The following is a 23,751-nucleotide window of genomic DNA, read 5'->3' on the forward strand; positions in this document are numbered from 1 at the left end:
GTAGATAAATGCTTAGAACTGAACTCATATCATTGTTACCTGTACTCCTTTCATTAGTCCCGGGGACAATCACAACCTTGATGGGGACTCATCCAACACTCTGTCTCCTCAGCTCATAGCCAGTTAACTTCTCAGAGCTCCAGGCCATATTCCGACTGTTTCCTCAGCATCTGTACTTTTGCTGCACCTAACCCTCTCAAACACAGCATGTCCAAACTTGCCATCTCCCTCAGAACACTCCTGGTCTCCTTCAGGGTTTTATATAACAGGAAAATCATCCTCCAGCCTTTCTGTTTGTGAACACTCAAAACCTAGGTGTCATCTGTAGTATATCCTTTGCTCTCATTTTCATAGCCAAGGTGTCACCAAAGTCCAGATATATTGATCTCTTAAATATCTTCCTAATTCATGCTCTCCACGACACCCTGATCCAGATAACACCGTTTCTAGCTTGGAGTAACTTCCCAACTGGTCTTCTTATATCTGCTTTCATCCCGCCAGTCCATTCTCTATACTGCAGCCAAGGAGATCTTTTCAAATCGTCAATCTGAGTGCTTCACTCCTGCCTAAAACTATTTGGCGTTTTCCCATTGCCCTTAGGATGGAGTAGCAGTTCCCCAACATAGGCTACAAAACTCTGCCTGGTGAGGCATGTGCCGTGCACTCTGCCCTCTCTCACTGCACTGGCCTCTCTTTTCCTCCAACACACTTTGCCCTGAAAGTTCTCTGTACATGCTATTCCCATTCTTGGGATGCTGTTTTCCATCCCAACTTAATTTACTTCTTACTCATCCTTCAGATCTCAGCTGTGTTCACCCAGTTCCCTTCATTTTATTCACACACTATACCACATAACTTTCCTTCATCTATCATTTACCACATTGCAATTACACATTTCCTCTGTGCTGATTTAACATCTGACCACAGTAAACTGGAAGTTCCATAGGGGCTGGAAGTTTTTCCCGTTGTGTTCCCCTTTTATTGCCATCACCTAACACAGCACCTGGCAGGGAATAGATGCTCAGTAAATATGTGTTGGTCCAATGAATGAACGATTTACTGAATGAATGTGTTTCATCTAATTCTAGAAGAGGGCCAGACAGGCTCTACCATACTTGGGTTTTTGTGTATTTGTCTTCCATTTCATACAGCTTTATGTTAGGATTTTTATCTAATTGTTTTTAGCATTTAACTGACAATGACAGACCATTATGGATTGTAAACTTTGTAAGCTTTTTCATTACAAGTGCCTTTTTCTCATTCATTAGTTTCTGCCCTCATTTCAGTCTTGGATCTTGGATAATATTAACATTACAACCCCTGATTCCTTTTTGTCTCCATTTGCCTTGGTTTGTTGTGGGACTTTTTTTGCAGGGGTACAAGAGTTCACCTACCTTTGATTTTCAACCTTGCTGAGTCGTTTTTTCTTTTTTTCTTTCTCTCAAAATCTCAACAGATTGTTTCCTCCACTTGCATTTATTAATCTGATCATATCTTTGGTCTTAGTGCTAAACTTCACTGTTGTTTTATGTTTTTAATACCTACATTGTCTTATATTTTCCTATGTGATCTGATTTCTCTATTTTATTTTTGTGTGGCTTTCTGTTTATAATCAATTTTTAGTTTTTAAATGTTATATGTTTGAATAATACATTTAAACAACCTGAAACAGTATCCATACAAAATTCCTCAAAAGGAGATGAGGAAATTCTCATGCACACCTCTCCTCTCAAATTTATACACCCCTCCGTATACTGATTTGGCCAGTTATATTGTTGTTTTCAATTATTCTGGTGTTATCTTTATGCATTAAAATAATGCACTTAAACCTTCGTCATTTGAATTATCAGTATTAGAATTTCTCAAGCTCCATAATGAAATATTGAATAAGAGGAAATGAAGAAATGGACCCTTCCTCCCATCTCTACTTCCTTCTGACCTCTTGACTATTGTACTAACATCATTATTTCTAACCTCTTGACTACTAAACTAAGATTATTATTTCTATTCGGTTACGATTTTTAACATTCATTCTTTTCTAATGCCCTAATTCCCAGTTGTTTAGACTTGGTACCACATCTAAATAATTTCAGTACTCACATCAGTATTCTCATTTCCTATTCCTGAGCTCATCATTTTCATTAATCTCTTATCTCTTGGTTAGCTGGATTTCAGAGTTAAGTAGATTTTTTTTTTGCCAAAAAAGAAAGCTAATGTGTACCATATTTCCTGAGTGCTTTTGTGTGTCAAATTAATCTGTTTTCTATATACTTGAATGACATTTAACCGAGTATAGAAGTCTCAGAACACATTTTCTTTCCCCCAAAGACTTTGTAATGATTGCTTCACCATTTTCTAGTATTGTTGCTATGAAATTTAATACCAACTTGGTTTTCCCTCAATATAGGTGAATTACCTTATTGTCTGGTTTGGTTGTATTCATTTATTCAACAAATATTAGTTGAGTGTCTATTATGTAATAGGTACTATCCCAACTGCTAGGTTTATATCAGATTCTGTATTCTTGACCCCCCACAACTTTACCATTATCAATTGTCCCAAGACAGGAGGCCATGGTATGCACCTTCAATCCACAGAATCAAGTCTTCTTCTATAGCAGCAATTGTTTATAGCAGCAATTTTTATAGCATTAAAATCTTTTCAAGGGGGTCTATTAATTCTGTTCCCTTCCTCATGCAAAAGTATTTAAAATTGTATTCACTTCATGATTAAATTCACCTTTGGATGTGTATTGTCTATTTGCCTTTATTTTGTTTTTTACTCCACTCACCCTACTTGCTTTTGTGGTCTTTCTTTTTTGCCTTCTAGCTGTCAAATACCTGTACATGAGTCTATGCTAGATTCTTTCTCATTATGACTTTTTTTTTTGTTTTTGAGACAGGGTCTCACTCTGTTGCCCAGGCTGGAGTGTAGTGGCACAGTCTCGATTCACTGCAACCTCCACCTCCTAGGTTCAAACGATTCTTGTTCCTCAAGCCTCCCAAGTAGCTGGTACTACAGGTGCATGCCACCACCCCCAGCTAATTTTTTTATTTTGGTCTCAAACTCCCGACCTCAAGTGATCCACCACGGGATTACAGGCATAAGCCACCATGCCCAGTCACATTATGACTCATTTTTAAACAAGGGAAGCTCCATCTTGTTCAGTTTTTTGCTCAAGAGTTGTATGAGGAAGGAAAAGGGAAGAGAGAGCCAGGTCTACAGGAGTAATATTGTCCTGGATGACTTTCTCATCTACTCTGCTGTGCCTTTGCTGCAAGGACATTTCTTCTCCCAGTGACCCACATTCCTTCTAAGAATGAGCAGAAGGTTTCTGTGGCTCACAGTGAAGCCCCATAAGGTTCTAGTTCTCTGTACAGTGATTTGGCATTTATTTTCATTCTCCTCAGCTGACATGGATTTACTGATCAAAGATGACTCCATATCCAGAGCAGAAATGCCCCAGGGCATGGAGGTTAAGAGGACAGGCTTGGCATTTGAATCCAGGCTCTGTAACTGACTTGTAAAATTGGGATAATAATAGTACCATCCTCATAGAAATTATCTTTGAAGATTAACTAAGTTGATACATGTAAACTACTTAAATTAGTGCCTAGCACACAGTAAGCACTCACTAAATACCAGCAATTGTTATGTGTTACTGCTAACAGTGGTATTATTATTACATCATGTGCCACCAGCACATTTTCTGCAAAGTTCATGGATTTTTTTCCTTCCAGTCCCATCTGGTCTGCAGTTCCTCAGGGCAGGATGTAGAATTAGTGATTCCCAGTAAGGGACAACTGGAAAAGCCCTTTGGAGCTGTGCCACCTACTGTTGGAGAACTCTGCAATGTGAATGGACTATCCAATGTGAATCTACATTTGGCATCTTCTGGAATTGGGGCCAAATGCCCCTATATTTAGAAGCAATTCTTCATAGCTTGGGGTTGTGTCTACTAGTTTTGTTAAAGATGGACTCTTTGGTTAGAATTTGTGTTGCTTTCAGTTGATATTAAAGAGTAGAGCTTAGTGCAATTATCTTTATGCTGTCATCTTCAAGCAGAAGCTCTTAATATTCTTAAATCCAGAAATATTTTTAAATAAGCGAGAGAATGGCAAACTCCTTTTTCTCCACTGAAGCTTAAATATGAAGACATTATAAGAAGGATTTAAGAGTTCTTAATGCGGTGTTCATAAAAGCACAGTTTAAACCCCAAAATCAGTTCCTACAGGAGATTATTAAATCTTATTCCAATTTTGCACTTGTGACTAAATATTTCTTTATTTAGAAAATTGTTTTGCATGAGAAATGGAAGTATAGTTTTAATATAAAATCTTGGTAAATTTCAAATTATTTAAAATTTTCATGAAATTTTAACTGAGTATAGATATACCTTATTACCTTTTTATATATAAGTATATATTTTATATTATATATAGTGTGTATATATGTAAATATAGATATTCAAAAGAAATCTATCTATATAAAAGATACATTATTCTTCAAATAATATAAACCTGGTTTCAACCTGTTTTGCACGGATCAGTTTGAATTTTATGGATTTCACTTTTTTTGAGTCCATGTCTGTCTTAGTCGATTAAGAAAAGCAGAATAATTAAGCCAGTTAAGGGTTATTTGTGATTTTCATGGTGATGGTGGTGGTGACAATCATGAGGATAATGATCTCACATTTATAGTGGATGGGTACTATGTTTATAAATTATTTCATTCTCTTGTCAAAACAACCACATGAGGTAAGATCAATTATTATGCCTACTTCACAGATAAGAAAACCAAGACCTAGGGAGTTAAGTCATGTTCCCAGCATTGTGCAACCAGCAAGCAGCAGATTTGCCAAGCCAGACTGGCTCAAAATCCACGCTCTTTAACAATGAGTGAAGCCATTCCCCCATCCTCTAATACTACCTCTCCAGTAATATGGGCACCACAATACTCATTTTATAGGAGGAAAGAAAGTAAATTTTCAACTCAAAAATTGGCTCAAGTTCACGTAACTCAAAAGAGAGAATCTTAACATACACTAATGCTCTTTTCACTACAGCTCTTGAATATTAGAAAACTGAAGGTATATGTCCCAGAATAAGTGAGAAACTTTTAAGCAATATTTTCTAAATTCACTTATAATTCTTTTAAGACCTATTTTCCCTGTCCTAAGAAAGAAGCAGGGGGGAAATGCTCTCAAAAATGTTCTTTTCCATGGGTGGCCAGGTCTTCTAAAGCATGAATGAATCTCCAAAACAAATGATCACTTGGCCATTCAATGTAGGGAGAAAGAAATTGCTCTGAACAATGATGCATATAAACTGAATTTTTGAGGTATAATAAATATGATTCTCCTTGAAGGAGATTTTTTTAAATCAGGTTGCTGAAGTAAGTCAAAAGAGACAAATATAACTCTTTGCTTGTGGAGGTTAATCATAAAATGCATCTTTGTTTTAAAATCCCATGAATGTTGGAACAGAAGACCATCCAATGTCAGTTCATAAATGAACCATTCCCTTTGAAACTTTGACAAATGACTCCCTGATGTTGCTTCTGTTTGCTGAGGAGGGAAGCAGTGGCCTTCTGGGGCAGCAAGTTAAAGATATTTCTATGAGATTTATGTGGCACAAAGCACTCTCAAAGACAAATCAGTGTATCCAAGTAGAGCATTCTAATGTAATCACGCTGATCAAGAAAAGTGTTTCATCAACACAGATCTGTCATTTCTTCCTCTCATTGTGTGGAGCTGCCTAAAGGTTTTATGTCCCTGAAACAAGGCTCTGAATGGCAGTCTTCAGTCACATTTGATATTAACAGAATTCCATAAAATCAGTCATCACTCTGGATGCATACTTTCCCTTAGGAAAACCATTTAAGTTCAAACTTGGTGGGAGAAGTATCAGAACAAAACTACTAAAGAAACCTTGGGGCTGGGCACAGTGGCTCACGCCTGTAATCCCAGCACTTTGGGAGGCTGAGACAGGCAGACTATTTGAGGTCAGGAGTTTGAGACCAGCCTGACCAACATACTGAAATCCCATCTCTACTAAAAATACAAAAATTGGCCAGGTGTGGTGACACACACCTGTAGTCCCAGCTACTCAGGAGGCTGAGGCAAGAGAATCACTTGAACCTGGGAGGCAGAGGTTGTGGTGAGCCCAGATTGTGCCACTGCACTCCAGCCTGGGCCACAGAGCAAGACTCTGTCTCAAAAAGAAGGAAAAGAAAAAAACATGGGGACTGGCCATGGTGGCTCACATCTGTAATCCCAGCATTTTGGGAGGCCAAGGTGGGAGGATCCTTTGAGCTCAGGAGTTTGAGACCAGCCGGGGCAACATAGTGAGACCTCATCTACAAAAAAAATGAAAATTAGCTGGGCATGGTGGCATGTAACCATGGTCCCAGCTGCTGAAGTGGCTGAGGTGGGAGGATTGCTTGAGCACAGGAGGTTCAGGCTGTAGTGAGCCAAGGTCTCACCACTGCACTTCAGCCTGAGGGACAGAGCAAGACCATCTCTGGAAAAAAAAAAAAAAAGGAAAGAAAAAAACATGGGCCTGGATTATGGCCTCAGAATTTGTTGTGAACCCATATTTACACACAATGTTGACCTCAAATACTTTGGCAAATCATAAAGTCTGTAGGGGTGCAGGAATGATGATGTCATTCATTGATCCACACCACTTCTGAGAGAAGATTTACGGGTATCTTGATTATGGTGGGATTCTCACCAGGCCTCATCTTCAGCACTCTCCAGTTCCAGGTGATGCACAGCCTAGCAACCCTCCCCCTGCTGAGATCAAGCCTTTGAGCATCACTGCCCTGGTTTTTCTTTAATGAAGCTAAACAGTGCCCTGATTAAAATTTTCCAAGCTCTTGACATTGAAATAAATGGAGTGAGGGAGAAAAAAAAAACTGCCTCAAAATTGTGTATGAGAATGTATTTAAGAAGGAAAACAGGTTGTTGATGGAATTTTAGAGGGTCAGTAAATATCCTTCTCCCTGTTGTGAACTGAACTGTGAACCCCACCTCCACCCAAAATTTATATGTTGATGTTGTAAACCCCAGTGCCTCAGCATGTGACTGTATTTGGAGACAGGGGTCTTTAAAGAGGTAACTAAGTTAAAATGAGGTCAGTCAGGTGGACCCCATAAGAAAAAGTTAAGAAAGAGGCCAGGCGCAGTGGCTCACACCTGTAATCCCAACACTCTGGGAGGCCAAGGCGAGTGGATCACCTGAGGTTGGGAGTTCGAGACCAGCCTGACCAGCATGGAGAAAACCTGTCTCTACTAAAAATACAATTAGCCGGGCCTGGTGGTGCATGCCTGTAGTCCCAGCTACTCGGGAGGCTGAGGCAAGAGAATCGCTTGAACCCAGGAGGCGGAGGTTGCGGTGAGCCAAGATCGCGCCATTGCACTCCGGCCTGGGCAAAAAGAGCGAAACTCCATCTCAAAAAAAAAAAGAAAGAAAGAAAAGAAAAAGAAATTAAGACAAAGAATCACACAGCAGGAAGACTCCATGAAGACACAAGGAGAAGGTGGCCCTCTACAAAGGGGAAAAGTCTCAGTAGAAACCAACTCTACCAACACTTTGATCTCAGATTTCTGGCCTCCAGAACTGCAAGAAAATAAATTTCTGTTATTTAAGCCACCCAGTCTGTGTCATACTTTGTTATGACAGCCCCAGTAAACAAATACGCTCTACTCCAGAGTTCAGGACCACTGGTAAATAAGGCTGGACACAGAGCAATGGCGCCAAAGAGTTAGCCATATTATTGATAAAATCCATTTGAGAACATGGCTTTAAATCAGCAGTCATAGGATTTGCATGGAATGTATCACCTCCAAACAGGCAGTCTGCCCTGGAAACATGTCATATGGAGGAGCTGAGGAAGTGCTCCATGGATGAGCAGACAGATATGAAAGAAAGAGGACTCTCTGGGGGGAGTAAGGGGATGGGGAGGAGCTGGGAGTGTTCCTCCTGTCCTTTTTCCTCTGGGTGGGGCAGCAGAAATCCCTCTCTTCTCTGGAAGTATGAGAAATAGGAAAGGAGTGTCTCCATGCTCCCACCCCCAACGGATCTCAAGCTTCATTCTGCCATGTGCTTCCTAGAGAGGTGAGGTCAACTCTGGTCATCTTCACTTGGAAAGGCCATATTCAGCTAAAATGTCACAAAAGGAAATCTCACCTTCCCCCTTCAATGTGCTGATCTTTCTATAATTCTTTCCCAGGAGGAACGACATCATCTTCCAACCCTGGGCTAGTTTTCTCTTTCTTCCTGTTCTATGGATTCTTCCTCTTAAATAGCTTACAAACCTGTCTGCCCCACTTCAGCCCATGGCCAATGCTTCAGTCAATCCCCTCATTACCCACCCTGCTGGATTCCAGCCCCATCTTCCCTACTGGCTTCTCTGCCATGTGTGTTCTTCACATTGGCACCAAAGTGAAACGCCTAAAAGCCCAGTTGGACCACAACTTCCCATAAATTAAAATCCTTCTGGTTCCTGAGAAGTCTGCATGTCCTGGCTTCCTCTCCCACTGGGTCTAGCCAGAGCCAGGGGGAACCAGAGTCCAAGGGTCCTCAGACATCGGAGATACCAGGCTTTGATGATGAACAACGGGAAGACATGTTCTGCACAAGGTCTTGGGCGAATCTCCACTGGCAGTGAGGAAGATTTATCTCTCACACCACGTGGAGGGACATCCTGGAGGCGAAACCTCAGCCTCCTTCCTTCCCTCTACTCCTTCCTCCCCACCAGAGCAAGAAATTAAAGAATTGAACCAATATATCCCTCTCTTTTCTGGCATCTGCCTGCCCATAGAGAAGGTGTCATACTCTTAGGACTAAGGGTAAATTTTCATGTAGAGGCTTTGTCCCTGCAGGAGAAAGTGTACATCCCAAACACCAGCTTAAAGAAGTGAGTTGTTTTAATTCTCGGGGGCAAACTAAGGAAGTCCATTTGACTCTAAGACTAAGCCTCGGCCTCTTTAAAGTTTTGTCAGCACTAAAGATAATTTGTTGATCTCCATCTACCTGACTCTGGAGTTTCCATTCTGAACCTGCTTAAGGAAAAATGATGTCTTTCAAACTCACTCAACCCCAACAGTTTTGAAGGCTTGTGATTCTGCCCCTGGGTTATGGGTCTGTGATGTTAAGAGATTATAAATGGACATGGTAGGAAATGTCACAGTTAATGACGTTTGCTTATAAAAGGGGTGAATTATAGCAGAGAGGCCCCTTGGATTGTCATGCAATTAAGGATCATCTATGACAGAGGCTTTCAGTCTTTATCACTCGCTGTTTGTGGAGCCTGTTGCTCTCAAAAACCTCTTCCTTTTGAGTTCTCCATTTTCATCAATAATACCACTTTCTTGATAATCATCTGACATCAAAGCTCTGTCACTATCTTCCTCCTTTAATTCTTTCCAACAAATTTATTAGCAAGCTATGAAGATTCTACATCACTGCATCATCTCCTTCCACTTAACCATCATCTGTCATTATTGCTTCTCATTGGAATATTACAATAGCTTCCTAACCCGTCTCTCTGAATTTTGTCTCCCTCTTCTGCAATTCAGCCAATTCTTTGCTAGCAGATTAATATTTCTGAAGGGCATATTTGATTATGTCTTTCTCCTATTCAAAAACAGTCAGGGAGTCCCCACTGGCTTCTACGTTAAATCTGATTTCTTCTGCTGGAATTCAAGGAAAGCCCTTCACAGTAAGGTTCCAACTTCCCCTTTCAGCTCTGTTTCTCAACATTTTTGTATCATAGACTGGCATTACCATCACACAGCTCTACACTTGTCTGCCCTTTTGCTTTTGCTGGTATGTTCCTATGTCTGAGGGTATCTTTCTTTCCCCCTGTGATGGAGCTTCAAAAATAAGTAACAATAATAGGCAAACCACAACTATTTTGTGAAATCTCTTATCCTCCCAATCCTGACAAAAGGTTGAGCTTTTCTCCCTTTTGACACCATAGCATCAGAGTACTTTGTGCTTTTCTTACCCCATTTATTTTATTCTACTACCATAGACATATATTGATTCGCCTCTTCTGTCCAGCAGCTCCAAAATTTTCTTTGGATAATTGTCCCTTTCCTATTCTCAGGCACGTGGTTTGGGTGGAATTTGCTTTCCCATTGTTTTCAAGCAAAACATACTGCTTCCTATCTCCTCCTCCTCTCTTCTGTTTCAGAGTCTTGAGAATTTGTTTAGGGAAGAAGATAAGACTTGATTAAGAACCAGGAGACCTAAGAGATATCGGCTGGGACTTTGAGAATAAGAGCCTCCATTATCTTCCGAAAGAACTCCAAGAAGACACATCCTCACTTTCTCAGATGTTGTAGTGAGGGTGTAAGGTCTAGAATTGCACAAGTCATGTTGGTAGCATGAGGGGGGCCAGCCCAGAGATAAATCGGGCACATAAAGGAGGGGACATGAGCTAAAACAGTCATAGAGAAATTGTGATATTTTGAACCTCTGGATAAAACAGCACTTGCAGCCAGGCCTAATTTTGTACTTGTCAGTTAAGTTAATAAATTTCTAATTTTGTGTAAGCCCATCTGAGTTTGGTGTTCTGACTCCAGCAACAAATCTTCTGTCTTCATACTAGACATATGGTATCTTTTTGTGGGGATAGTTTAAATCTACTGTAATGGATCTCACAGTGCCTTACGTAGCAGCTTTTTAATGGACCTCTTTTAATGGGATTGATTTGTGCAGTGGGAAAAAAAATGTTTCCATGAACTTACTCAGGCAACATTTTTGAAAAGAAAATAGAATATTCACTGTTTGCTGAATTGAATTGGATACACTGATACTTACTAAAAACACATTTTATCAAACAGATGGATTGTGGAAAATAGCTTGCAAACCCCATCTTTAAAATTTCTGGTTGTTTAGGAAAGTAGTCAGCAGGTTCTTTTCCTTATAGTAGAGATTTTGTAAAATAAAAGGTAATTCTCATACATCATCTACAATAATAAACAACTCCTGAAATTTGATTATCTAGGCCATTTCTATATTTAAAATGGTCTAGCCCATGAATAGACATGGAGCCACGTATATTTTTAATAACAAAAATAAGGGTTCTGAGTTTATATGCTTAACTGCATAGAAAACAATATATTATAAATTTTAAAGGCCCCAAGGGCCATTTCCAAGGCTTCCAAAATTTATTCTAGGTATATTTTACCTTAGAGGCTGGACAGAGATGGACTCTCTGATAAATGTGTGGCTCCAGGTAAAAGTCTCACTGCTTAACTGAGTCTCATTCCTAGAAAGCTGGAGTCCATGCACAGAGGTGGAGAAACCAGAAAAGTGCAGACTGCTATATGGGTTTTCTATTGCTGAGTAGCAAATTACTATACATTTAGCAGCTTAAAAAACAATGCCTGTTTATTAGCTCACAGTTCTGTAGGTTTGGAGTTTGGCACAGCATGGCTGTGTTCTCTGCGTAGGGTCTCACAAGGCTGACATCAAAGTGCTGACTGGGCTGAGTCCTTCTCCGGAGGCTCTAAGCCATTCATTCTGCCTCCAAACTATTCGCACTGTTCACAGAATTCAGTTCCTTGAAGTTGTAGAATTAAGGTTCCTGTTTCCTTGCTGGCTGTCAGCCAGGACTGCTTTCAGCAGCTCAAGGCCACCCACATTCCTTAGTATGTGGCCTCCTCCATCTTTAAGCCAGCAATGGTGTGTCAAGTTGGGTTTTTTTCTTTCTTTCTTTCTTTCTTTTTAAAGACAGGATCTCACTCTGTTGTACAAGCTGGACTGCAGTGACAGGACCACAGCTCACTGTAGCTTCACCCTCCCAGATTCAAGCAGTCCTCCCCACCTCAGCCCCCTGAGTAGCTGAGACCACAGGTATGAGCCACCACACCTAGCTAATTTTTTTTAGTTTTTTTTATACAGGTCTTGCTATGTTGCTGGGGCTGGTCGTGAACTCCTGACTCAAGCCATTCTCCCCCCTCAGCCTCCCAAAGAGCTAGGATTACCGGTGTGAGCCAGTGCTCCTGGCCTCAAGTCCTTCTTGTGCTTTGAATTACTGACTTCCTGTCTCTGACCTCTAGATCCAAATTTGAAGGGCTCATGTGATTAGGTCAGGCCCACCCACATGCACGCCCTATCTAATGTCAACTGATTTGGGAGCTCAATCACATCTGCAAAACTTCCTAGATCTGCAAAACTTCCACAGCAGCACCTAGATTAGTGTTTGATTAAATAATTGGAAGAAAGTATGTGTATATCAGGACCAGGAGTCTTGAGGGGCATCTTAAAACTGCCTATTATACCTGCAGTAATCAAACATCAGCCCCCTCCACAATGGGCCACCAGATCTCTTCAGGAAATAACAATTCTCCTGTACCTTGGGTTTTCTTCTCAATCTGGACTAGCCTGGGCCTTTCTATTTCCCCTCCCATCCGAGTGATACGGAAATCAAGCCTTACACCCTTCTCTTCATTTCCTCTCAGATCTGTCTTTGTTAGCTCAGGCTGCCATAAGAAAATGCCACGAATAAATTTATTTTCTTACAGTTTTGGAGGCTGGAAGTCTGTGATGAGGGGCCAGCATGGCTGAGTTCAGGAAAGTGCCCTCTTCCTAGTTTGCAGATGGCCCATCTTCTTGCTAGGTTCCTCATGTGGCAGAGAGACTGAGCAAGTTCTCTGCCATCTCTTCTTATAAGGACACTAATTGTATCATGAAAGCCCCACCCTCATGACCTCATTTTAACCTGATTACCTTTCAAAGGTCCCATCTCCAAACACCATCACATTGGAGGTTAGAGCTGCAACATATGAATTTTGGGGGGACACAATTCAATACATAGCAGTACCAAAATAAAAATTTCACTCATCGCACCAGAGATAATGAACACTTTGAGTACAAGGATATCCCAAACCATACAGAACAAAAAAAATATTTTTTTCCTACCACTTCTTCCAGCCTGTTGTCACAGTCTATGCTATTCCCCACAAACAGCAACAGCAAAATGTGTCTGGAGACACATTTCTATCTAAGCTGGATTCAGAAATCTATGCTCCTAAAATAGGCTTTTAACACTTCAGTCTCAAACATCTACATCCAGGTTAGAGTTGACTTCAGCCTAGTCCTCGAGAACAGTGGTCCCCAAACGTTTTGGCACCAGGAACCAGTTTCATGGAAGACAATTTTGCCGTGGACTGAAGGTGGAGGATGGTTTCCAGATGAAACTGTTCCACCTCCGATCATCAGGCATTAGTTAGCTTCTCATAAGGAGTGCACAACCTAGATCCCTCGCATGCGCAATTCGCACTAGGTTTCACGCTCCTATGAGAATCTAACTCCCCCGGCTGATCCAACAGGAGGCAAAGCTCAGGCGGTAATGGTCACTCACCTGCTGTTCACCTCCTGCTGTGCGGCCCAGTTCCTAACAGGCCATGGACCAGTACCACTCTGCAGGTGGAGAGCTGGGGACCCCTGCTATAGAATGAAGGGTGGGCACAGATTTACATCTCATACAGACTGTCAAAGTAATAAGTTTACCATAATGGCTCTTGAAAATTACACTACTTTGCAAACAATGATTCTTTGCATTAGTTTCCTATTTCTGCTGTCACACATATCCACAAATTTAGTGCCTTAAAAACAACATATTATCTTCCAATTTCCAGGATGAAAAGTCTAAAATAGAAAGGCAAAGACTACATTCCTTCTGGAATCTCCAGGGGGAATCCATTTCCTTGCCTCTTCCAGCTTCTAGAGACCCCCCGTCTGTATCCTCATCTAGCGGTTCCTTGCTTGCAACTGCTTCCGTCGTCACTTTGCTTTCTCTGATCCCCTGCCCTTCCCCTACTCATAAGGACACTAGCAATGACAATGGCCCACCTGGATGATCCACAATAATCCCTCCACCCCAAGATCTTTAACATAACCACATCTGCAAAGTCTCTTTTGCCACATAAGGTAACATATTCATGAGTTACGAGAATTTTGACATGGACATCGTTGGGCGGAGGCCATTATTCTGCCTATCACGTGCCTTGTTTCAGTATAATGACTTTTGTATCCCAAGACATACTAAATAAATGAGATATACGAAATCATATTCTGAAACTATATGTTCAGGCAAAGCCACATTCACCAATTTACTCAGTCCAATGGTTTCTAGTTAGAGAATATCAACTGGAAAAAATCTGAATTGCGCACATTTAAATGTTTAGCTTTCTGTATATATACACAGAGAAAAAGAAATGAAAAAGTGGCCTCTTCCACTATCTTCAGTCTATTGCACTCTTGCACTATTTCCACATCTTCCAAAGTGCTGTCATGTTTAGCTCTATTTTGCCCTGAAGAAATTTGTGCTTAAACTTAATTTCAAATGCAGTTTGAATACAACATAAACACAAGTCCCAAAGTGGTTGAAAAACTGGTGAAGAAAGTGGCGCAGGGAAAAAATATGTATACTAAACCTCCATTACATTACATTTTATGTGCAAATTCTATGTGCTTTACAATTGTTGTTTATTAACTATTTAATCTTGTTTTCATTATCCAAATGATGTATTTATCTCTCTGAGAAAATTGGTTGTGAGAATTTCAGGTGAGGACAGAATTAATTACAATTAATGGAAATATTTTTCATGTAATAGCTTTTCACTTAATGCCTGGAAAGAATTTAAGCGACAGGAGGGTGTTAAGGGTATTTGCTTTGAAGCAGTTCACCCAGAACAAAAGAACCATCTTCTTTCTCTTTCTTCCTTCCTTCTTTTCTTTCTTTTCTCCTTCCTTTCTTTCCTTCCTTCCTACCTCCCTCCCTCCCTCCCTTCTTTCCTTTCTTCCCTCCTTCCTTTCTTGACAGAGTCTTGCTCTGTCACCCAGGCTGGAGGGTAATAGCACGATCTTGGTGCACTGCAACCTCTGCCTCCTGGTTTCAAGCAATTCTCCTGCCTCAGCCGCCCAAGTAGCTGGAATTACAGGCGTGCGCCACCACGCGGCTAATTTTTATATTTTTAGTAGAGAGGGGGTTTCACCATGTTGGCCAGGCTGGTCTCGAACTCCTGACCTCAGGCGATCCACCCACCTCGACCTTCCAAAGTGTTGGGATTACAGGCGTGAGCCACCCCACCCAGTTGAACTATCTTCTTTAGAAAGGAACTCTGAGGCCTCCACTGAAGTAGACAACTGCTGGCAGTTTTTAAATGGCAGGTTTTCCAACTTCTTCCCAGACTTCAAAAACCCTAGGGCTGAATTTCAACCACAGCACCTGTTAGAGGTATAAATATGTGTATGGAATTTGATTTTGATTAATCCTCGTTCCATAATGTTGGCTCTGAAGAAGCTTGCTCCTGGGTGGCCAGATGAATGGCCAGAAAGCAAAGGTGGTTTTCACATATTACATTCTAGCAAAGCAATCTACCCCCAATGCTTCCAGGGTGCTGTCATTGGGAAAGCAAAATTGCACTGTAGAGGTCAGAAGCTCCTATTCACCTCTTCCTCTTCCTAGCCACATGATGAGAATTTTTCTTTGGTAGAACCATGATATCATTGTGGAACAGCATGAATATAACTGTAGTGCCATGGGTTGAAGACATTTTTAGAAATTAAATCTCAGCTCATTCTGTGACTTTTTTGAGTTCCGTAAATACTTTCAAGGGATGTCAGGCTGAAATGTTTAATCATACTAATTGTTCCTACCAGTCCTAAACCAATGTGGGATATATATATAGACCTTACTCACCTCTCTAGCCTCTAAGAATGAGCTCAGCAGCATGTTGAAAGTGGTACTGCATGTACTGCCTGAAGCACTGATTGGGGGATGTCATGCATATCACTCATTCACCTGTACCAGAATGTGTCTCTACTGTTTGGTTCCATTCGCCCAAGAAAATAATGAAGGATATTGGCCAGAGTTGTAGGTATAAAGAACACCCAGACAAAGAAGTGATCTCAGTGCACAAAGGGGCTTTTGCTTGACAACACTACAAGGGTTTGCTGAGCCGTCTCCTTGACCTGCATAATTCACAGTTCTTCATTCCAGGGCCATCACTTGTTTAAGCATGGGTCACATGACTTCAGGTTTCACTCATAACTTCCTATACTCTGTCAGTCTCCTGCCTCTGAGAGGACATGGGTTTGTCACAGACCATGACTTTCGGGTCCTCTAACTGTGCTTCCAAAAGCCTAGGGTTGAGTGAGAAAAAGATAGTGATTGATGGGCTACAGCTCAAGCTAAACCTAGGGTGGTGTGTGTGTGTGTGCGTGTGTGTGTGTGTGTGTGTGTGTGTGTAAGCCTTGAGAACTACTCCCACTACATTTCACAGAAGACAATCCAAATTCCAAATGTATCATCCCAAGGCTCCAATTGCCATGGCACAACTTTTGATACAATCCCAATAACTATTTTTGAAAAGCCCTGCCTATCTAAGCTTTGCATGTTGTTTGTCCTTCTCCTATCTCTTGTCCATCATGTCTATTTCCTATTGTTCTGGTGGTTGCCGTCTTTGCCCATAGAGTCTGGGAATTCTCGCAGAGCTCTGCAAAGCCTCTTTGTGATGCACAGTATTTCATATTCTTAGAACAATTATCAGAGGTATTTTTATCTTTAGTATGCATATTCTATTAGCATAGACCACTGCAGCATATAGCACAAACAAATCACACACAGGCTCATGATTATTTTTTTCTAGTTTAATTAATATAAAGGTAACATGGATATATTGTAAGAAAAAAATCAAATAGGAAAAAACAATTTTTGATGGAAAGAAATAGTCTCCTACCTTCCCCCCAGTTCCTCTCCCAAGAAACAACATCTTAACTGTTTCAGTTCTTTAATTCTTATACTTGCTACTTTCAAAATACTAAATAACGTGCATATGAGATTTCTGAATGTATCAAATTTATATTTAGCCTATTGTCTCCCAGAAATGAAAGATGAGGATTTAATTAACTTATACAACCATCCTCTCTTCTCCCACCTTTTCCTCCTTCTAATATTTGATGTATTATCATTTTTACTTCTTTGCTTGTTTATCTTTAATTACTTTAAATAATATACTTATGCCTCAATTTCTTTTGTAGCAAGGTTCAATTTTCTCCGGCCATGTTCTTGGGCACTTAAAAAAAAAAAAAAGATTAACTTTATTTTCTGTAACTAAAAGACCACATTTTACCAGCTGACATAAACCTTAATCATTGTCGATTCCAAGCAAGCACAGTCATTTTACATTTAAACTCTATACAGTCCAACTGAATTCCTCCATTACCTCCCACTTTCCTGGGAGGGCAGGTCTTTTCTTGGGGATTTATGTGGTGCCAAAGCACTTTGGGGAGGTATCCTAGGTAGGTATGCCCTAAATAGATATGGTTGACCTCTGTCCTACTTGGCATCTCCTGATGTTTGGTCATTAACATCTCTTGACATCTGCTGAGCTGTTCCAGGCACCGCCATGAACTCTGGTTATTAGTTCACATGGTTTGAATCATCCATGTTCTCATAAAAGATTTCCTTCAGATCCACTCACCATCTTAACCCTTCTGTGACCCTTTAAGGGAAGTGAACAGTTCTCCAACTGTCTTCTGTGACTATGGGGACACAGGAATCTCAGCAGGGCTGTCTCAGGCCCTCCCCTGAGCCTTGGCCCTCCCCACTACAATTCCCATTGTACAGCTATGGCACACTCTGTTAGGAGGTAGAGGCACTTCTGTGAGTCTTGTGTTTAGCTTGCTGACTCTCAGAAAGGGGTGTACTGCTCCTTTCTTCTCTTACTCTTTTCCAAACTACCCCCTCCCATTACTGGAAAGCGGTCCCTATTCAGACACCAAGAGAGGGTTCTTGGACCTCTCACAAGAAAGAATTCAGGGCAAGTCCGGAGAGTAAAGCAAAAGCAAGTTTATTAAGAAAGTAAAGGAATAAATAATGGCTACTCCATAGGCAGAGCAGTGGTATATACAGCTGCTCAGCTGAGTATACTTAGAGTTATTTCTTGATTATATGCAAAACAAGGGGTAGATTATTCATGAGTTTTCTGGGAAAGGGGCAAGCAATTACCAGAACTGAGGATTCCTCCCCTTTTTAGACCATATAGGGTAACTTCCTGACATCGCCATGGCATTTGTAAACCGTCATGGCACTGGTGGGAGTCTTTTAGCAAGCTAACACATTATAATTAGCATATAATGAGCAGTGAGGACAACCAGAGGTCACTTTCATCCCCATCTTGGTTGTGGTGGGTTTTGGCCGGCTTCTTTACCACATCCTGTTTTATCAGCAGGGTCTTTGTGACCTGTATCTTGTGCTGACCTCCAATCTCATCCTGTGACTAAGAATGCCTAACCTCCTGGGAATGCAGCCCAGAAGGTCTCAGCCTTATGTTACTTAGGGACTATTCAAGATGGAGTCACTCTGGTTCAAACACCTCTGACACTTCCACTCCAGGATTGGGGTTGGGGGCCGAGGGTGGCCAGGACACAAGCAAGCCCCAAGCACTTGCTTTCCCCCTGACTCTCTAAACCTCTATCCTCCTTCCTCACTTCAGGCAAACTAACCTTTATGCCCTAATTCCTTCAGAGATTTTTCCTTGGCTACTTAAAACCAAGCTTTTGGAATTCAATGACATATTTCTTTCTCTTGCAAAGCAAAAGCCTTTGGATTTCAAGAAAATAAATTTCAAAAGCACACTTAGAATTTCAAAAGCCAAGAATTTGATCAATGCATGTAGCCTCATCGGCCCTCCTCTGGAATGCCTAGAATGCCTCAGCCTAAAATATTTTATTAAATAGGGAGAAGATCTCAGGATTAAAAAACAAAAAAAAATGTGGAGGTAGATGAGCAATGATTAAATATCAAAACAGGCAAGATTCCAATGACAGAAGTCAGTTTCTCAATCCTACCCTATGTAAGACAAGGCTATTAGCATCACTGTCCTTCATTCCTTCCTTCCTCCTCACTCCACTTCCTTCTTTTATGTTATTAGCCAGTTGCTGTTCAGTCTCAAGTAACGGAATATTTAATTTATAATGTCCTAAATAGATATGGTTTAATTTACTCAAATATCAATGAGTTCAGGCAATCCAGAACTGATACAGTGGCTAATGATGTCATGAGAAACCTAGACTCTCTTTCTCACTATACCCTCTTCGCACATTGGCTTGCTGTCCCATGGTTGCAAGATGACTGCAGTTCTAGGAATTACATCTGTAATCCGGGCAGCAGGAAGTGGAAAAGGGAAGAGAGGGCCAGGGGCAGCTGCATCATTTACCTTTATCAACCAAGCAAATATTTTTCCTAGAGCAGTTTCCTCCATAAATTTGTGTCTTACTGGCCAGAATTGTGTTGTATTGCTACCACTAGCTGTGTAGGTGGTATTATAGTATAAATACTCACCCACTCACTAGCTGGGTGAGTATTTATAGTTACTCCCTCTACTATAAAAGCAAATAACAGCAAAGGAGGTTGCAAGCAGGTGTTGAGTAATCCAATTTATAGTGTCTGCCAAAGTCCTCCCTTTGGCTCCTCAATATTCATGTATACTCATAGAACATTCCTTACCCCATCACCAAGGGAGACAATCACAGTCTCATTCAGTTGCTGCATCAAGCTTGAAGTCCACAAATTACAGAAAAGGGGTCCCAATCCAGACCCCAAGAGAGGGCTCTTGGATCTCACGCAAGAAAGAATTCAGGGTGAGTCCATAAAGTGAAAGCAAGTTTATTAGAAAAGTAAAGGAATAAAAGAATGTCTACTCCATAGACAGAGCAGCCCCAAGGCATCTTGGCTGATACAGATTACCTTGGACTTTCTTTTCCATGTGGCTGGTTTTTGCCTACGACTGAAGGTTCTTCCTATTTTTTCCCATGACTGATGATGTTCATTCATATTTAACAACAAAAACCTGGGTGACTGGTGTAGCTTTCTTCTGCCATTGTGTAAGTAGATCTATATTCCAAAAGGCTCTCTCTTTGAGGGAATTCTGACTGGGAAGTCTATTCAAATGACTGAAGCATATCAGTGACAGTTTTGCTTTAGCCTGCTTTAGAATAAATGAAGGGCCAGCCTCTGTTAGGTAGTAGGTCTACCACAGGCAATAGCACACAGCTAGAACCTTAAATTTTCCTTTGAGTTCATTTTTGTTTTACAAAATACCCCCTCTGTTTTTGCTGATTGTTTGGATGGTAGGTTGGTGGATTGGTTGGTTGGTTGGTTGGTTGGTTGGTTGGTGGGTTGGTTGGTGGGTTGGTTGGTTGGTTGGTGGGTTGGTTGGTTGGTTGGTTGGTTGGTTGGTGAGTTGGTTGGTTGGTTGGTTGGTTGGTTGGTTGGTGGGTTGGTGGGTTTGTTGGTTGGTGAGTTGGTTGGTTGGTTGGTGGGTTGGTTGGTGGGTTGGTGGCTTGGCTGGTTGGTGGGTTGCTTGGTGGGTTGGTTGATGGATTGGTTGGTTGGTGGGTTGATTGGTTGTTTGGTAAGTTGGTTGGTTGCTTGGTTGGTTGGTGGGTTGGTTGGTGGGTTGGTTGGTGGGTTGGTTGGTTTGTTGGTTGGTTGGTTGCTTGGTGAGTTGGTTGGTTGCTTGGTTGGTTGGTGGGTTGGTTGGTTGCCTGGTTGGTTGGTTTACAGATAAGTCTCAGGCATTTTGCCATTCTGCATACAGAGCTGTGAGAGACAGCTGTACTTTGTACCCTGCATGAAATATGCCCAATGGGAAAACCAGTTCATGTTCACTTTCTTGATTCCATAAACACCCACATGTATTCATAGTAAGTAGAGTTTTAACATAATTCCTATGAGAATTGCACCCACCTATGTAGTTGTTCCATAAGTTGTTCTTTAATTAGTACCCCTTACTCCTGTCCTATCCTATGGTTTGATGTAGAACCTAAAGTCTCTTCAAGTTTCTTGGCTCTTACTTGCTCTACTACCTCCCATAGCATGTTCTGGGCTTCTGTCATTCAACACATTTCTGTTCTCTATCTCCCGGAAATTTATTAAACTGATTAAACTTTCTTATCTATTGGCTGCCCAACTCTCCTTGTCCTTATCCTGGCCTTCTCACTATGGGTTAGCAACTTCTATCCTTTTTTGTCCCCAGTGAGCTTTGGTGACTCAAAAGGCAAACATGTGCTCAACCTGCCATCTTCTAACCAAAGCACATATTTTAGAGTATATCATGTTACACTCCTGCAGAACCTTTCTGAAAGAATGCATCACACACTAATAATGATATCAATATCAAAGTCAATTATCTGTGGAGTCAAAGTCAATATCTGAGATTGGAATCCAGTTTTCCACAGCTCCAAAAGTTTGAGTGTATCATTTTTTTCTGGTTTGCAGGAAGTTTGATGGCATGTCTTTATATCATGGCCATGGGCAGGACTTGGAAAAAGTTTTACCACTAAAGCATCTATGAACTCAAGAAAGAAAACACTGGCTATGTACAATGATGACTGTGATCTTTTAAATTTATCTCAAATAGCGAACCTACCAGTCATAGTAAGTATTTCATTACTTTTTAATCCAGTTACATAGTTTTAATGCCTAACTGTAAAATAATACATGACTCTGTAGAGAAAAAATGAAGTTGAAGTAGTCTATGGAATTTATAAATCCAGCCCTTGTGATTGGAATAGAGTTTGACAAATGGGTCTCCTGGAAACTCTTTCTTTCATTACCAATGTTACTACAGCAACATGAACAGCAGTCCTGATTTTAGGAGAAACTAATCTCTAAATTTGAATTCCCATGATACTCAGATGGAGAGAGGAGATAGAAGAGATTTTCTGAATAATTATTTTTAAGATTACAGAACTATCATCTGTGTATTGTCCCAGCTTCCAACCTCCATTTCACAAATTAAAGTAGGACAGAGTCTAAGGGTTTGACACAAATCCTGGTGCATCAGAGAATGCCACAAACTATGTGGCAAAACTCCATAGGACACTTGAGCAGAGAAACAAAGGGTGGGGTCTTGTTTTGTAGGTGAATTGTTTAACCTCCTGCTCTAATGAAGTACCTAGCAACAGGAGAGGATAGTGAAGGCCCAGAGGGCAAGTAGCCTCCTTCCTCATACTAAACACTGCACGGTGAGCCTCAGAGTCATTCCTCTTGCCCTGGGGAGCCAGGCCCTCAGGTGCAGACTTACATCCCTCTTTGCTTGCAATGAAAGTCCAGAATTAACTGTTGCCCTTTCTGGCAGCAGCCGCCAGCTATTCTGGTCATACTACCTCCACCATCTACCGCCTTTCCCCAAGGCTCTGACCTTAGTGGCTGCCTTTTCCACAGAAATCAAGCATTTCTGATCACTGCTATACTTTGTACCCTGCATGAAACATGCCCAATGGGAAAACCAGTTCATGTCCACTTTCTTGATTCCATAAACACCCACATGTACTCATGATAAGTAGAGTTTTAACAAAACTCCTGTAAGAACTGCATAGATGCAATACTAGGTAAAAAAAATTTTTAACCTATCCCTTAAAATGTTTCCAGTGTGGACATATTTTAAAGCTCTCCAGGTGAGAGAGCAACTACTTATTTGCAAGGTGGTTCTGGGCACTTATTCCCCTACAGTCACTTGATGGCCCATATTTATCTCATTACACTTAAATGGATAATGAGATGTATCCAAAAGAGAAAAGACCACACGGGAGGAAATTCTGCATGAGACTGTCACAAAGCAACCTAGGCAGAAAATAACAGACTATTATGAAATGCTAAACTGGAAAATAAATACCTGAACACCACATTTGCACTGTAACAGAGATAGAGAGTGGCACTGAACATTTAAGCTCTAATCAATCTAAAAAAGAACACCCAAACTATTCAAAGCAAGGCTGGAGACCCGTTTGAGTTGGCAGAGGGTTTGCTTTCAGTGAGTTGGAGTATTTTCTGCTCAGGCTTAGATTTCTTGTCTTTTTGCAGATGTTCATTGTAAGTCCATTTTCGCAGAGACTAATACTTATTCTTAAACAAATAGTGAGTGTGTGTGTGTGTGTTTTCTGCAAAGGGAAGAAAGAGCCAGTTGTAGTTCATGACCCCGCTTACACATGGTCAAGATGGCAATAGCATATTCCTGGAAGGGCTTTGCCAACTATTGCTTTGGTTGCCTTTTCACACCCGTGATTTAAACTGTTCAGTCAGCTAAAATGGATAACAAGTGACCTGGTGCAAATTCCAGGAATTGGCAGGACAAGCTCCAGAAAGCACTCAGCCAAATGACTTCGCAGTTCTATTAGACAACCCACAAATTCTTCTGGGAACGGGCCAGAGACCCGTTTGACAATGAGCATTTCTGATTCAGGGCATCTTGAAGCCCATCTTCAAGTGAAGTGAGAGCATTACTTGAGAAGTGAGTCATTTTCAGGGCTGAGGAGTAGCTGTGCTTTTAATTTATCTATTGAGCTTCAGTCATGATAAGTAATAATCTTATAGAAAATATCAGTTCTTCACTAGGATATTCATACCCTGAAGCAGAGTGAGTGGTTTGCGGGCTTCCTCATAGGACTCAGGAAAGCCTGATTTTAAAGTGCTAACTAAGAATGCCCACAGACCTTTTACAGTCATTCTAATACAAGAGAACAGTGAGACTTGGTACCTAGTTTTTGAGTTTGTTGATCTTGTTTTCTCTGGTAAGGACACTAAAATATAACTCATAAATGTGTTATTGATTTATAAGAGTGAGAAAAATTGAGTGTTTTTTGAATGCCTTTCATCTCCCATAATTAAATTTCTGAGTGTGCTGATGCTCACAGGAAAGGAAGGAAGGAAGGGAATGGAAGTT

The sequence above is a fragment of the Homo sapiens genome, chromosome 5 (genome assembly GCF_000001405.40).
Source record: "Homo sapiens chromosome 5, GRCh38.p14 Primary Assembly".
NCBI lineage: Eukaryota > Metazoa > Chordata > Mammalia > Primates > Hominidae > Homo > Homo sapiens.